Source organism: Homo sapiens, chromosome 3 (genome assembly GCF_000001405.40).
Source record: "Homo sapiens chromosome 3, GRCh38.p14 Primary Assembly".
Taxonomy (NCBI): Eukaryota; Metazoa; Chordata; class Mammalia; order Primates; family Hominidae; genus Homo; species Homo sapiens.
Genome location: NC_000003.12, coordinates 109795050 through 109810898, shown reverse-complemented (window position 1 = coordinate 109810898; position 15849 = coordinate 109795050). Strand labels below are relative to the sequence as shown.

The 15849-nt window shown below is 39.0% G+C and overlaps 1 long non-coding RNA gene across 1 annotated transcript in view, besides 1 other annotated feature; it reads right to left on the bottom strand.

Moving 5' to 3' along the window:
* LOC124906267 (uncharacterized) overlaps positions 1-15849 on the bottom strand; it is a 188134-nt gene that overhangs the window by 25259 nt on the left and 147026 nt on the right. The gene's annotated exons all lie outside the window — the stretch shown is intronic.
* Positions 2899-4098: an enhancer, noted in NCBI's record as "P300/CBP strongly-dependent group 1 enhancer chr3:109525648-109526847 (GRCh37/hg19 assembly coordinates)". NCBI's record gives its function as "activates an origin of replication core promoter dependent on BRD2, BRD4, P300/CBP, MED14 and CDK7 cofactors, with strong dependence on P300/CBP, by STARR-seq in HCT116 cells {active_cell/tissue: HCT116}" and the evidence as "EXISTENCE:reporter gene assay evidence [ECO:0000049][PMID:35650434]".

Genomic DNA, 15849 nt, shown 5'->3' with positions numbered 1-15849 from the left:
AGTGCCTTCACATAACAACCAATTTTACTGAGAGAGATTTGATTGATTTTTTTATTTTGCAGAAGATGTGACCTCTTACTAAGTGAACATATCCTTGGCTAGGTCTCTCATTTCAAAACGATTCACCACTATGCTCAATTCTTTGGTTTGTCCCAAACCTCAAAATAACTAGGCACAGTTCAGCCCTTCCTCCACAGAAGCCAGAGAGTGGAATGGAGCTTTGACCTGAAATGATTAGAGAAAGGAAATAAGTCCTAGATCAATATCTTGTAGACCCTGACTCACATAATTCCCAATAAAGTCACTCAAAACCTGAAGAGTACAAAAAAAAAAAAAAACAACCAAACAAACTGAACAACGAGGATGGACCCTAAGACTGAAAAATAAGACTTTAAATGCCACTACAGAAGGGAGATTGCACCCTTACTGACTGAGGTTTGGGAATACTTTTTATTGCAGAGCCAAATCTAGGCCCATTAAATTAAAAAAATAATAATAAGGCTGTAGACTCGTAGCATTTCTATACTATGATTTTATCTATAACATAGAAACCAGAGACCCAAATATCTGTACCCCACGATAAAAAAGAAGATAATTTTGGCCGGGCGCAGTGGCTCATGTCTGTAATGCCAGCACTTTGGGAGGCTGAGGCAGGCGGATCACAAGGTCAGGAGCTCGAGACCAGCCTGGCCAGTATGGTGAAACCTCGTCTCTACCAAAAATGCAAAAATTAGCCAGGCATGGTGGCATGTGCCTGTAGTCCCAGCTACTTGGGAGGCTGAGGCAGAAGAATCGCCTGAACCCGGGAGGCAGAGGTTTCAGTGAGCCAAGATTGCACCATCGCACTCCAGCCTGGGTGACAGAGCAAGACTCTGTCACAAAAAAAAAAAAAAAGATAATTTCAAGAGTTTTATCTCACCTCTAATTCCTAGCCAGCCAATTTTAGCATTACTAATGGCTACTGTGATGATTAATATTGAGTGTAAACTTCATTGGATTGAAGGATGCAAAGTGTCGTTGTGGGTATATCTATGAGGGTGTTGCTGAAGGAAATTAACATTTGAGTCAGTGGACTGGGAAAGGAGACCCATCCTCAATCCTGGTGGGCACAATCTATCTAATCAGCTGCCACTGCGGCCAGAATAAAAGCAGGCAGAAGAATGTAAAAATAAATAAATAAATAAATAAATAAATAAATAAATAAATAAAGCCTAGACTGGCTTATCCTCCCAGCCTATGTCTTTATCCTGTGATGGATGCTTCTTGCCCTCGAACATTGGACCTCAAGTTCTTCAGCTTTGGGACTTGGACTGGCTTCCTTGCTCCTCAGCTTCCAGATGGCCTATTGTGGGACCTCACCTTGTCATCCTGTGAGTCAACACTCCTTAATAAACTCCCCTTTATATATACATGTATTCTATTAGTTCTGTCCTTCTAGAGAACCCTGACTAATACAGCTACCCATGTTAAATGATAGGACAGAACCTTCAGGAATCAAGAACAAAATGAGAAAGGTCATAGTGAGCAAAAATCCCTTCTCTGATCCAACTGGAGGATCAATTATGCCATACCTTCCATGCTTAGTAATTACTGTATTACTTTTATTGGGATACAGTGCAGCCTAGTGTTTACAAATGTTACAGAAATCTTATGCCTCAGCTTTCTGATTAATAAAATGTGAACAATATATCTCTTATGTTAGACTATTGCAGGGATTAAATGAGTTATCACCTAAAATGTTTTTTAAAAGTGCCTAATACCTATTTGCTATTATTATTTATATTATTAGTAACAATAATTTGTAACATCATAATAGAGAAAACTTGAACACAATCTCAAACTCAGTTGGGCAAAATATAATTGTTATGGAATAAATTGTGTCCCGCAAAATTTATATGCTAAAGTTCTAAACTACAGTACCTGAGAGTGTGACAGTATATAGAGATAGGGTCTTTAAAAAGGTAATTTAGGAAAAATTAGGTCATAGGGGGAGCCCTAATCCAATATGAGTGGTGTACTTATTAAAACATGGAGATTAGGACACATACACACACACACAAAGACCATGCACACACAGTAAACACACAGGGAGAAGACAAGACAAGAAAGGCCTCAGGAGAAATCATCCTACTGACAACTTGACTTGGACTTCTAGCCACCATATTTTTGAGAAAATAAATATCTGTTGTTTAACCCATAGGGTCCACATACTTTGTTACAACAGCTCTAACAAACTAATATAATAATGCATTTCTTTATTTTCTATAAATGTACTTAATACTTACTTCTTGTCCACTTCTTGCCAAGATAGTCAAATATCTATCTCAGCAATTCTTGAGGACCCTCTACTACCAGGGTAATGAAGTATGTGAAGGTCTTAGTAGCACAATGACATAGGGTGGCTCCTGGGTCATTGGCCATCTGTCCAATGTTTACTACCTAGACACTGGAGTCTGTTCCACAGGGTCCCTCCAAATCCAGCCTTCTTCCTGACCGATGCTTCTGTGCACCACACTGAGGATGGAGCAAACTTTGGCGAGCCTGAAACCCACCAACATTCCTCCTGAAGTCTTGCTTCCTCCACACAGCACTGATAGTTAGCAGGGTCCTGCTGTGGCCTTTGAGGAATCCCTACAGTGGTTCTGTGTCCTTGCACTCCTATCTGGAGATATCACAGATCTCCAGATCTAGGAGTAAGGAAACTGGGTGTAAGGAAACTCTTCACTGTGAGTAAAAGTAATCCCTTTTCTTTTATTTCATGTAGGAGGCATTCTCTCTCTCCTCTCTTTCAAGGGCGTCTAGCACAACTTTATCAAAAAGTATAGACTTAGAAAATGAAAACCTAGGTTGGAAGTAAAACTTCAGTTTTTTCAAACTCAAAACATCCTTGAGACCAAGAAGCACAGAGTCTGGCTACCTACTGAATGAAGGATATATGAATGAATGATAGAGACATATCAATTGATATCATTAAAGATACCCTGAAGTGTTACCAGTAGTTTTTTACACAGATCCTTAAAGCCATAAATGCCGTGAATTTTTTTTTTTGACAGTCTATCTCTGTTGCACAGGCTGGAGTGCAGTGGCGTGATCTTGACTCACTGCAACCTCCACCTCCTGGGTTCAAACGATTCTCCTGCCTCAGCCTCCTGAGTATCTGGGACTACAGGCGCCCGCCACCACACCCAGCTAATTTTTTTTGGTATTTTTAATTGAGACGGGGTTTCGCCATATTGTCCAGGCTGGTCTCGAATTCCTGACCTTGTGATCCGCCCACCTCAGCCTCCCAAAGTGCTGAGATTACAGGCATGAGCCACAGCGCCTGGCCTATTTTTATTTTTTTACGTGTTTTCTTCCTCTCTCTTTCTCTTGTCAGCTTATTAACATGCTTATTCATTTGTAAAAGGTGACAGCATACCCAAGCAGAAAAGGCGAGATGTTTCTACCAGCCTGGCTCCTCTTCTCTGGCCTCTATTCTTTTGGCCTAAGAGATAGACAATACATCAAGCAAGGTCCTTATTTGCAAGCAAAATAAGAAATCAATCATGACTGAATAAATGGGAGGATAAAAAAGAGTTTATTTTAAAAACTAATAGGTAGCTCTCTGAATCACCAGGAGAGCGGAACCATCTTGCTCAGAACAATGAATCTTGAACAATGCCCCAATTGAGGCTGCAAAACTGGGCTGATGAGGAAACTACTTCTGCCCCCACAAAACTAGAACACTGAGTGTCCTAGATAATGTTGTCACTGATCTATCAGGAACACAATTGTGCTGTAACCACTTCCTTTATCAGAGAATGAGTCACTTCCCGTGTTTTTTGGTGTCACTAACTTCCTACTCAAAAACTGGTATGAGTGCATCCAATATAGAGAGCCCGAAGTATTTGCCCAAACCCTTGCTTCAAATCAGGCTGAGAACGTATCTGGTATTTTTAGTTTTTATAGTTTATATAGTTAATGTTTCTAAAGTTTAAAGTTTGCTCTTTCTCCCACCAAGATTAATCTCACGTAGAAAGGGGATGCAAATGCTAGGCAGACAAAAAGACTGAAAAAAAAAAAATCTCCACAACAGAAAGACTGACACAAAGCTGAAAGAGAAAACAAGACAGGAAGTTAGGGTACAGTTAGAAATGCCTTTGGTTTCAATTAATAAAATATCTGATTAGGTATTTTTAAAAAGTAATTTAAAAAATAGAGGGAGTCTTTTTTGTTTAGTCACAGAATGCAAAATCTGAAAGTAAGAACTTGTTGCTTTCATTAGCTCAGGAGCTCAACAATGTTAAGATTAAGTCAAAAGTTCACTTGTCCTTTTCCTCTTAATTCCAAAATGACTATTTTTGCTTCAAATCAGGTAAAAGAGAGAGAGGATAAGAAGTGTCAACAGACTTCTCTATACATTTCATGGGCGAGAATCACTGGCAACCAGTCCATAAAAAATGTATCACTGAAGCCACAAGCTAGAGAAATATTCTCCTATATGTGAAGTAACACGATCCTACAAGGTTCTTTTAAAGGATACCAATTAAAACTACTTTCTAACAAATTTGTTGCTCTTTTACTGCGAAAAGTATATGCATCCCAACCTTGAATGATAAATTTTATCAGTAAAAATCTTTATATTTTCAAAAATTTAACCATTAATTGTGTATGGACTCATACTCAATAGAAAATATAAATGAATACACATTATGTCACAAAATTAAAATCATGGAAATCAAGAGAGAGTCACCTCGTTTATAACTGCCTTCCCTATTGAAAGATATATCTGCAGAATGGATGCACCACCTCACCCGCTGTTTTATTTTTCTCTACAATCAGATATAGTTCATAGGTCTTGGCAAGAGCAATCCCATTTACTTTAACTGTTATTAGAGTGTTCATGTTTTCATGCCTTTTCATCTGTTTTCTTTGCTTCTGGAACTCTTTGAAGGCTTACTTTAGATGGCCTTGCTTGGTAACATCTAAAATACCATTTCTAAGATCCTGGTGTTCTCCCCAGTCATTTGGATAATTGCCACTATTGATGCTAGTTTGACTCTGGCATTCTGGACATTCCCTTATCCCATCTTCATATTGCTCTTTATTTATATGGTAGCAAACGGAAGTCCATATCATATGTCTCCATATGAATGGGACATCAGAATTAAATAGACATAAAAATGAAAAGATTCCTGGGAAAAATCACTCAGGATGCTCTGGGTTGGAGTCTATCCAGGCTGTGCTATTTATTATTCAGTTGACTTTGAGCATGTAACTTAATCTCTTGAGTCTCAATTTTATTGTATGTACCTTGCTTCACATAAATATTCTTGTGAGAAATCTTGTGAAGATTTGGAATATAGAATCTCTTTGAAGTCTATAACATTGTATAAAAAGAAAAGCTAACAAAGACTATATATTATTGTCTGATGTACTCTTTCATCCTCCTGAAAAGCATTCAGCAAATTCTGCTTATCCTTACATCCCACATTTCCTGCTCCACTCTCCGCTTCAGGCTAGATCCTACTACCCACTTCCATCTTGACCACAATATTCTTACTCAACATGGGAGATAGAGCAGGTAAACAAAAGAAGCTGGATTTTGTTAGATTCTGCTCAGGACAAACTATAGAGGTCAATCTGGTTTTAATTACTTTATTCTCTTTGTCAGAATTCCAAGTAGGCACTGGTCTCTACATTAGCTGTAAAGGCCAATTATTTATTTCACAATATTGAAGTCTCTGGCCCAGATGGTTGATTTCTCTAATCTATCCAGTCCTATCTGAGTCTTAGCTCCTGATCTGGGCCTTTGCTGCAGATTCTACATCCACCCTATGGGTTAACTATGTTGAATATCAGGATTCTTGATACTTGGCTTTAGCCTAGCAATTTATTTCATTGTGCCTCCTATTTTCTTGAGAAAGTGAGAGTAAAGTGTTTAAAATGAGTCATTAAGCTACCTGTGGTTCAATTAGACCACTGCTTTCACACCTTTATGACTAATGTTTCATGAAGCTGAAACTAATTGACATGATTTCTATAAAGGCAGGGAAGCCCATAAGCCAGGCCTGACCATACACACCCACTTACTTTTGAAGGATTTCTTCTGGCATTAATCCAAAAGGTGCTCAAAACCTAAAGGAAGATATACAGCATTTACTTACACTGTTCTCGTCCATCTTTACTTTTTCACTCCCTCCTTAAGACTTCTTTTTTAGATGATGTCTTTTTTGCCTGTAGGACCCCTACTGACAATTTTAGTTTGTCTTTGATTTTTAAAATTTGTTGATATATGCATGAAGCAAAGTGCCTGTTTTTCTGTTTTTTATATCTCCACAGCTTTTGTCTCTCAGTGTTTATACTTTGGTAAATTTGGACTCTACTTTTTTTCCAAAATGAATAAAGAACATTTTTCTTATAAAGAACATCACTTTTACATGTACTAAAAGTTTTTTAAAAATGTGTCCCAGCTTTTTCTCTTACCCATGAAGGACTCTGTCCATGAAAGCCTTTGTGGTGTTGGGGACACGGGACCAACTGTCCACCAGCAAACATGAGAGCAACTCAGCACATGCATTCTCTGGGGAAGACTTGCTTCCTAAATGACCATTTCTAAAGCTGGCCACTGGCCAAGGGTCCAGAGCCCTGTAGCAAGATGACAAAAGCACCAAAATCTGAAGCTTTTAAAGGAATTATTCGTTTTTGAAATTAGAAAACAGACAAGCTGTCCCCCCTCCAGTAATCTAAAGAATTGCCATTTGTGGGAAGGAAATAAGGTTGTCTATCCTAACACTGGAAAGAAAAAAAAAGTTTCCGATTGAAACATGAGAAATTCTTGTTGGCAGATTTGTCCTAAAAACCTAAAAACTTTGTTTTTACATATCATTCTTTTTTTTTTCTTTGAGACGGAGTCTTGCTCTGTCGCCCAGGCTGGAGTGCAGTGGCACGATCTGGGCTCACTGCAAGCTCCGCCTCCCGGGTTCACGCCATTCTCCTGCCTCAGCCTCCCTAGTAGCTGGGACTACAGGTGCCCGCCACCACGCCCGGATAATTTTTTTGTATTTTTTTTAGTAGAGACGGGGTTTCACCGTGTTAGCCAGTCTCGATCTCCTGACCTCGTGATCCGCCCCACTCGGCCTCCCAGAGTGCTGGGATTACAGGTTGTGAGCCACTGTGCCCGGCCACATATCATTCTTTAATCAAGGTATTACAGCTACTCCCTATTTCCTGTGACTCTATCCACTGATTACTTCAACAAGAATTTTTAAGGTCCTTTTGCGGGAAAACAGTATGCTATGCAGGGTGGGGCAGCTTGTGTGGGAGGGGAGGTCTGAGTGGGTGCTGCTGCATGGAGGGCAAGCGGAAATGCTGGAGGACGCCAGGGGAAGGAGGAGAGCGCCGCACGAGTGACTGCTCACACTCCCACTTGCTCATATAAATAAAAGTAATCTACTGGCTGCCATAACTGAGAAAGATGCTGGGATGGTGCATAATATAAAAAGGAAGAGCTGCAGTACCAGAGCCTGCAGATAGGAGCTGGAATTAGGAAGACTTCATCTTTCTGCTACCTCAGGTGTCTGCACTCCTTTACTTGGCTTACTTTTCCTCTTACTCATCAGGGAAAGTGGCTATCAGATGGGCTTCAATTTAATCCTCTCCTGTACATCCTAATGGAAATTATTTCTCTTGTGTTCATATAGAATAAGCAAACAAAACAAAAGAAGTCTCTGATCCTACTTATAGTGTTGTCAGATTTAGCAAACAAAAATAAAGGACACCCAGTTAAAACTGATTTTCAGATAAAGAGCAAATAGTACTTAAGTATAAATTGTATCAGTATGAATATATCCCACATGTTATTTGAGAAGATTTCAACAGAGGTGAAAAAATATATCCTAGACCCCTATTCACGTTTATCTGAAATTTAAAATTAAGTGGGAATCCTGTATGTTGTCTGACAACCCAACATACTTGGGTCTAGCTCCCATCCCAGAGCAAACACTGTGTCCAGGGAGTTGGCATCCCTATGCTAGGTCAAGTCTGAGCCCTGTAAATACCCCTGCCCCATCCAATGCAAATATGAAGGTGAAGTCTGATATCAGAAGAGTGGTAATGAAGGAAAGAAACATTGTCATGTACAGCCAAAAATATTAGCTAACCAACTCCATAACAGAGATGGTTAAAAATGCATAAAGAGAAGCCAAGGAAAAATAAAATAAATCAAATTTATTCACCATTTGCCTAAAAAAGAAGATGCTGATTAAAATTATTTTTCACTGTTGATGATCCACATTATCATGCATTTCCATTGATTACAGGACAAAGTCATGGAAAACCCTCTTCTGATGATTTTAGAAAGCAGAATAATTCCTGCGTAATTGACACATTGCTACAAAAGACAAGTGGTAGGGGTGGACTAAATTACCATGTCTTGATATTGAGGCATTGCCAGGTTTGTAGCCAGTCTTATTTTATGGTTTTCCTAGGATTCAAGAAGTTTTGTTGAGCTTCTCTAAGTGGTGATTATAAAATAATAAGCAAAAGATATGTTGGCTCTGGCATCAGGCAGGATGACAGAAATGTAGGCTTGTCTTGAGTTTGGCAACAGCACACTTAATTACATTGACAATGTGTAGCTGTGTCATTTCTTAGGAACTAATTATTCTTTTGGAAAGAAAATGTCCCTACGGACATAGTTTTTGAAATACAACTTTTCAACCAAAGACTTTAGAAAGAGTGTGTCAGATGATGATGATCAAAAGTTGATATGATGGCTTGAAACTTAAAACAAGCATAACCATTTTAAACACCTATATTCCTTTACAGAGATAATGAAGGTAGAAATGGCTATTGAATGGCTGCAAAGTATTCCCCTTATAAAATTTCGAAGGTGAAGTACGATTTCTCAGAGGAGAATCAGGCTTTAAAATTAAAATGTTCTATATAGAATGAGAAAGGTAATTAAGTTTTTCCTAACTAGCATCAATTTAAGAGGAACCAGTGCTGTCGGTAAATAGTGCTTTATCAAAGATCATTTAACTCTAATGAACTAATTTGATCTGACAATGAAACTAGCAAAGACAATGTCAAATGCTAATGTATACGTATGTGCATGTGTGAGAGAAAGAGGGACACATACACAGACACACACACACACAAACACACACATACATATACACAGACAGAGAAGGACAGAGATACATAGCGAGAGAGAATTTACATTGTGAAGGAAGAGCCACACACTATTTTCACTTTGAAAGACTGAATCATGAAGACTGTTCTGGACATCATGCAGAGAAAGAGACATGGGCTATGGCAACTGCACTATTCTCAACCAGCTTGTGACTCTCCCTCTTTCCCTTGCTGGTTTATCTTTCTTGTCCTTTTACCCACTAAATTTGGGCATTTCTCAAAGTTCTTTCTCTATACTCCCTCACTTAGTGCCTGTAATAGAACCACCCCTCTTTGGGCATGCAGCCCCTGTGTGGGTTTGAACTCCAATGCACAACTCTGGAGTCCCATTCACATTGTAGTCTATGTGCCAGGCAAACCTGTCAACTTTTATGTGGCAGTCAGCTATGGATGATCTAAATCTATCTCTACCCCTCTTTTGTCTTCTGATCTCTGGGCATAAAGTTCTACATGCTTATACAACTGTTCCTTTTAACTGGAAAATAAATGCCAATTTTATTCATTCTCTAAAAGTAGAAGTTTTTTGTTTTTTTATTTTAGTAACCCCCTTTATTTTCTCTCCAAGCACACACATATTTCCTGCCTTTGAGTAATGTATGCTCTGAAAGAGGAAAAAGGCATTGAGATACAAAAGCATATTATAAGACAGAAAACTCTATGTGCCATTTCCTATCATTTACCTTGATGTGAGCAACCAACTCCAGAAGGGGCACTAGTTGCCATTGCTTCATCTCTCTCTCTCATTTTTCTTCTACTTCTTTCTTTGCAATCTTGTGCATATCATTGTGGCCTCCTCACCTATTCACACCTCTTCTCTATTTTTTAAAATTATACTTTAAGTTCTGGGACACACATGCAGAACATGCAGGTTTATTACATAGGTATACATGTGCCATAGGTATACATGTGCCATGGATTTGCTGCACCCATCAACCCGTCATCCACATTAGGTATTTCTCCTAATGCTATCCGTCCCTTTGCTCCTCACCCCCTGACAGGCCCCAGTGTGTGATGTTCCTCTCCTTGTGCCCATATGTTCTCATTGTTCCATTCCCACTTATGAGTGAGAACACGCGGTGTTTGGTTTTCTGTTCCTGTATTAGTTTACTGAGAATAATGGTTTCCAGCTTCATCCATGTCCCTGCAAAGGACATGAACTCATCATTTTTTATGGCTGCATAGTATTCCATGGTGTATATGTGCCACATTTTCTTAATCCAGTCTATCATTGATGGGCATTTGGCTTGGTTCCAAGTCTTTGCTATTGTGAATAGTGCTACAATAAACATATGTGTGCATGTGTCTTTATAGTAGAATGATTTATAATCTTTTGGGTATATGCCCAGGAATGGGATTGCTGGGTCAAATGGTATTGCTGGTTCTAGATCCTTGAGGAATTGCCACACTGTCTTCAACGATGGTTGAACTAATTTACACTCCCACCAACAGTGTACAAGTGTTCCTATTTCTCCACATCCTCTCCAGCATCTGTTGTTTCCTGACTTTTTAATGATCGCCATTCTAACTGGCATGAGATGGTATCTCATTGTGGTTTTGATTTGTATTTCTCTAAGGACCAGTGATGATGAGCTTTTTTTCATATGTTTGTTGGCCACCTAAATGTCTTCTTTTGAAAAGTGTCTGTTCATATCCTTCACTCACTTTTTGGTAGGGTTGTTTTTTTCTTGTAAATTTGTTTAAGTTCCTTGTAGATTCTGGATATTAGCCCTTTGTCAGATGGATAGATTGCAAAAATTTTCTCCCATTCTGTAGGTTTCCTGTTCACTCTGATGATAGTATCTTTTGCTGTGCAGAAGATCTTTAGTTTAATTAGAACCCATTTGTCAATTTTGGCTTCTGCTGCCATTGCTTTTGGTGTTTTAGTCATGAAGTCTTCTCCCATGCATATGTACTGAATGGTATTGCCTAGGTTTTCTTCTAGGGTTTTTTGGTTTTAGGTCTCAATCCATATTGAGTTAATTTTGTATAAATTATATTATCATATTGAGTTAATTTTTTATAAGGTGTAAGGAAGGGTTCAGTTTCAGTTTTCTACATACGGCTGGCAAGTTTTCCCAGCACCATTTATTTAACAGGGAATCCTTTCCCCATTGCTTGTTTTTGTCAGGCTTGTCAAAGATCAGATGGCTGTAGATGTGTGGCATTATTTCTGAGGTCTCTGTTCTGTTCCAGTGGTCTATATATTTGTTTTGGTACCAGTATCATGCTGTTTTTGTTACTGTAGCCTTGTAGTATAGTTTGAAGTCAGGTAGCGTGATGCCTCCAGCTTTGTTCTTTTTGCTTGGGATTGTCTTGGCTGTATGGGCTCTTTTTTGGTTCCATATGAAATTTAAAGTAGTTTTTTCTAATTCTCTGAAGAAAGTCAATGGTAGCTTGATGGGAATAGCACTGAATCTATAAATTACTCTGGGCAATATGGCCATTTTCACGATATTGATTCTTCCTATCCATAAGCATGGAATGTTTTTCCATTTGTTTTTGTTCTCTCTTATTTCCTTGAGCAGTGGTTTGTAATTCTCCTTGAAGCAGTCCTTCACATCCCTTGTAAGTTGTAAATGTAGGTATTTTATTCTCTTTGTAGCAATTGTGAATGGGAGTTTGCTCATGATTTGGCTCTCTGGTTGTCTATTATTGGCGTATAGGAATGCTTGTGATTTTGCGCATTGATTTTGTATCCCGACACTTTGCTGAAGTTGCTTATCAGCTTTATACAATCATATCATCTGCAAACAGATATAATTTGACTTCCTCTCTTCCTATTTGAATACCATTTATTTCTTTCTCTTGCCTGATTGCCCTGGCCAGAAATCCAATACTATGTTGAATAGGAGTCGTGAGAAGGAGCATCCTTGTTTTGTGCCAGTTTTCAAAGGAAATGCTTCCAGCTTTTGCCCATTCAGTATGATGTTGGCTGTGAGTTTGTCATAAATGGCTCTTATTATTATGAGATATGTTCCATCAATACCTAGTTTATTGAGTGTTTTTAGCATGAAGGGGTGTTGAATTTTATCGAAGGCCTTTCTGCAGCTATTGAGATAATCATGTGGGTTTTGTCATTGGTTCTGTTTATGTGATGGATTATGTTTATTGATTTACATAAGTAGAACTAGCCTTGCATCCCAGAAATGAAGCCAACTTGATCATGGTGGATAAGCTTTTTAATGTGCTTCTGGGTTTGGTTTGCCAGTATTTTATTGAGGATTTTTGCATTGGTCTTCATCCGGAATATTGGCCTGAAATTTTCTTTTTTTTGTTGTGTCGCTGCCAGGTTTTGGTAGGATGATGCTGGCCTCATAAAATGAGTTAGGGAGGAGTCCCTCTTTTTCTATTTTTTGGAATAGTTTCAGAAGGAATGATAGCAGCTCCTCTTTGTACCTCTGGTGGAATTTGGCTGTGAATCTGTCTGATCCTGGGCTGCTTTTGGTTGGTAGGCTATTCATTACTGCCTCAATTTCAGAACTTGTTATTGGTCTATTCAGGGATTCGACTTCTTCCTGGTTTAGTCTTGGGAGGGTTTCTGTGTCCAGGAATTTATCCATTTCTTCTAGATTTTCTAGTTTATTTGTGTAGAAGTGTTTATTTTATCCTCTGATGGTAGTTTGTATTTCTGTGGGATCATTGGTGATCCACCGTTTATCATTTTCTATTGTGTCTATTTGATTCTTCTCTCTTTTCTTCTTTATTAGTCTTGCTAGCGGTCTATCTATTTTGTTGATCTTTTCAAAAAGCCAGCTCCTGGATTCATTGATTTTTTGAGGGACTTTTCGTGTCTCTATTTCCTTCAGTTCTGCTCTGATCTTAGTTATTTCTTGTCTTCTGCTAGCTTTTGAATGTTTGCTCTTGCTTCTCTAGTTCTTTTAATTGTGATGTTAGGGTGTCAATTTTAGATCTTTCCCACTTTCTCCTGTGGGCATTTAGTACTATAAATTTCCCTCTAAACACTGCATCAGCTGTGTTCCAGAGATTCTGGAATGTTGTGTCTTTGTTCTCATTGGTTTCAAAAGCTTATTTATTTCTGCCTTAATTTCGTTATTTACCCAGTAGTCATTCAGGAGCATGTTGTTCAGTTTCCAAGTAGTTGTGCACTTCTGAGTGAGTCTCTTAATCCTGAGTTCCAATTTGATTGCACTGTGGTCTGAGAGACTGTTTGTTATGATTTCCATTCTTTTGTATTTGCTGAGGAGTGTTTTACTTCCAACTATGTGTTTGATTTTAGAATAAGTGCTATGTGGTGCTGAGAAGAACGTATATTTTGTTGATATGGGGTGGAGAGTTCTGTTGATGTCTATTAGTTCCACTTGGTCCAGAGCTGACTTCAAGTCCTGAATATCCTTGTTAATTTTCTGTCTCTTTGATCTGTCTAATATTGACAGTGGGGTATTAAAGTCTCCCACTATTATTGTGTGGGAGTCAAACTCTCTTTGTAGGTCTCTAAGAACTAGCTTTATGAATCTAGGTGCTCCTGTATTGGGGTGCATATATATTTAGTATAGTTAGCTCTTCTTGTTGCATTGATCCCTTTACCATTATGTAATGGCCTTCTTTGTCTCTTTTGATCTTTGTTGGTTTAAAGTCTGTTTTATCATAGACTAAGATTGCAACCCCTACTTTATTTTGCTTTCCATTTGCTTGGTAAATATTCCTCCATCCCTTTATTTTGAGCCTATGTGTGTCTTTGCACGTGAGATGGGTCTCCTGAGTACAGCACACTGATGGGTCTTGACTCTTTACACAATTTGCCAGTCTATGTCTTTTAATTGGAGCATTTAGCCTGTTTACACTTAAGGTTAATATTGTTATGTGTGAATTTGATCCTGTCAGTATGATGCTAGCTAGTTATTTTGTCCATTAGTTGATGCAGTTTCTTCATAGTGTCAATGGTCTTTAGAATTTGGTGTACTTTTGCAGTGGCTGGTATCGGTTTTTCCTTTCCATGTTTAGTGCTTCCTTCAGGAGCTCTTGTAAGGCAGGCCTGGTGGTAACAAAAATCCTGCAGCATTTGCTTGTTGGTAAAGGGTTTTATTTAATCTTTGCTTATGAAATTTAGTTTTGCTAGATATGAAATTCTGGGTTGAAAATTCTTTTCTTTAAGAATGTTGATATTGGTCTCCACTCTCTTCTTGCTTGTAGGGTTTCTGCAGATAGATCTGCTGTTAGTCTGATGGGCTTCCCTTTGTGGGCAACCCAACCTTTCTCTCTGGCTGCCCTTAACATTTTTTCCTTCATTTCAACCTTGGTGAATCTGACGATTATGTGTCTTGGGGTTGGTCTTCTCGAGGAGTATCTTTGTGGTGTTCTCTGTATTTCTTGAATTTGAATATTGGCCTATCTTGCTATGTTGGGGAAGTTCTCCTGGATAATATCCTGAAGTATGTTTTTCAACTTGGTTCCATTCTCCCTGTCACTTTCAGGTACACCAATCAGACATAAGGTTGGTCTTTTCACATAGTGCCATATTTCTTGAAGGCTTTCTTCATTCCTTTTCATTCTTTTTTCTCTAATATTGTCTTCATGCTTTATTTCATTGAGTTCATCTTCAATCTCTGATATCTTTTCTTCCACTTAATCAATTTGGGTATTTATACTTGTGTATCCTTCATGAAGTTCTCATGCTGTGTTTTTCAGCTCCATCAGGTCATATTTGTTCTTCTCTAAACTGGCTATTTTAGTAAACAATTCCTCTAACCTTTGATCAAGATTCTTAGCTTCCTTGCATTGGGTTAAAACATGCTCCTTTGGCTCAGAGGAGTTTGTTGTTACCCACCTTCTGAAGCTTACTTCTTTCAATTTGTCAAACTCATGGCTGTCCAGTTTTGTTCCCTTGCTGGCAAGGAGTTGTGATCCTTTGGAGGAGAAAAGGCATTCTGGTTTTTGGAATTTTCTGCCTTTTTGTGCTGGTGTTTCCTCATCCTTATGGATTTATCTACCTTTGGTCTTTGCTGTTGGTGACCTTTGGATGGAGTTTTTGCATGGTCATCCTTTTTGTTGATGTTGATGCTATTCCTTTCTGTTTGTTAGTTTTCCTTCTAATAGTCAGGCCCCTCTGCAGAAGTTCTGCTGGAGTTTGCTGGAGGTCCACTCCAGACTGTTTGCCTGGGTATCACCAGCGGAGGCTACAAAACAGCAAAGATTGCTGCCTGCTCCTTCCTCTGGAAGCTTCGTCCCAGAGGGGCACCCGCCAGATGCCAGCCAGAGCTCTCTTCTATGAGGTGTCTGTCCACCCCTGCTGGGAGGTGTTTCCCCATCAGGAGACACGGGGGTCAGGGATCCACTTGAGGAGGCAGACTGGACCTTAGCAGAGCTCAAGCGCTGTACTGGGAGATCCGCTGCTCTCTTCAGATCCAGCAGGCAGGAACATTTAAGTCTGCTGAAGCTGCGCCGACAGCTGCCCCTTCCCCCAGGTGCTCTGTCTCAGGCAGATGGGAGTTTTATCTATAAGTCCCTTACTGGGGCTGCTGCCTTTCTTTCAGAGATGCCCTGCCCACTGAGGAAGAGTAGAAGTGTAATACCTCTCTAATTAGTGCTGAGAAAAACAAAATCTCTAATCACCTTTCTCACACAAATTGTAAAATAATCCTCTTATTGCCATGTCATTCATTGCTGAAAACTTTCAATTACTTTCCATAATGCAACAAATTAAGAGAACAAAATGAT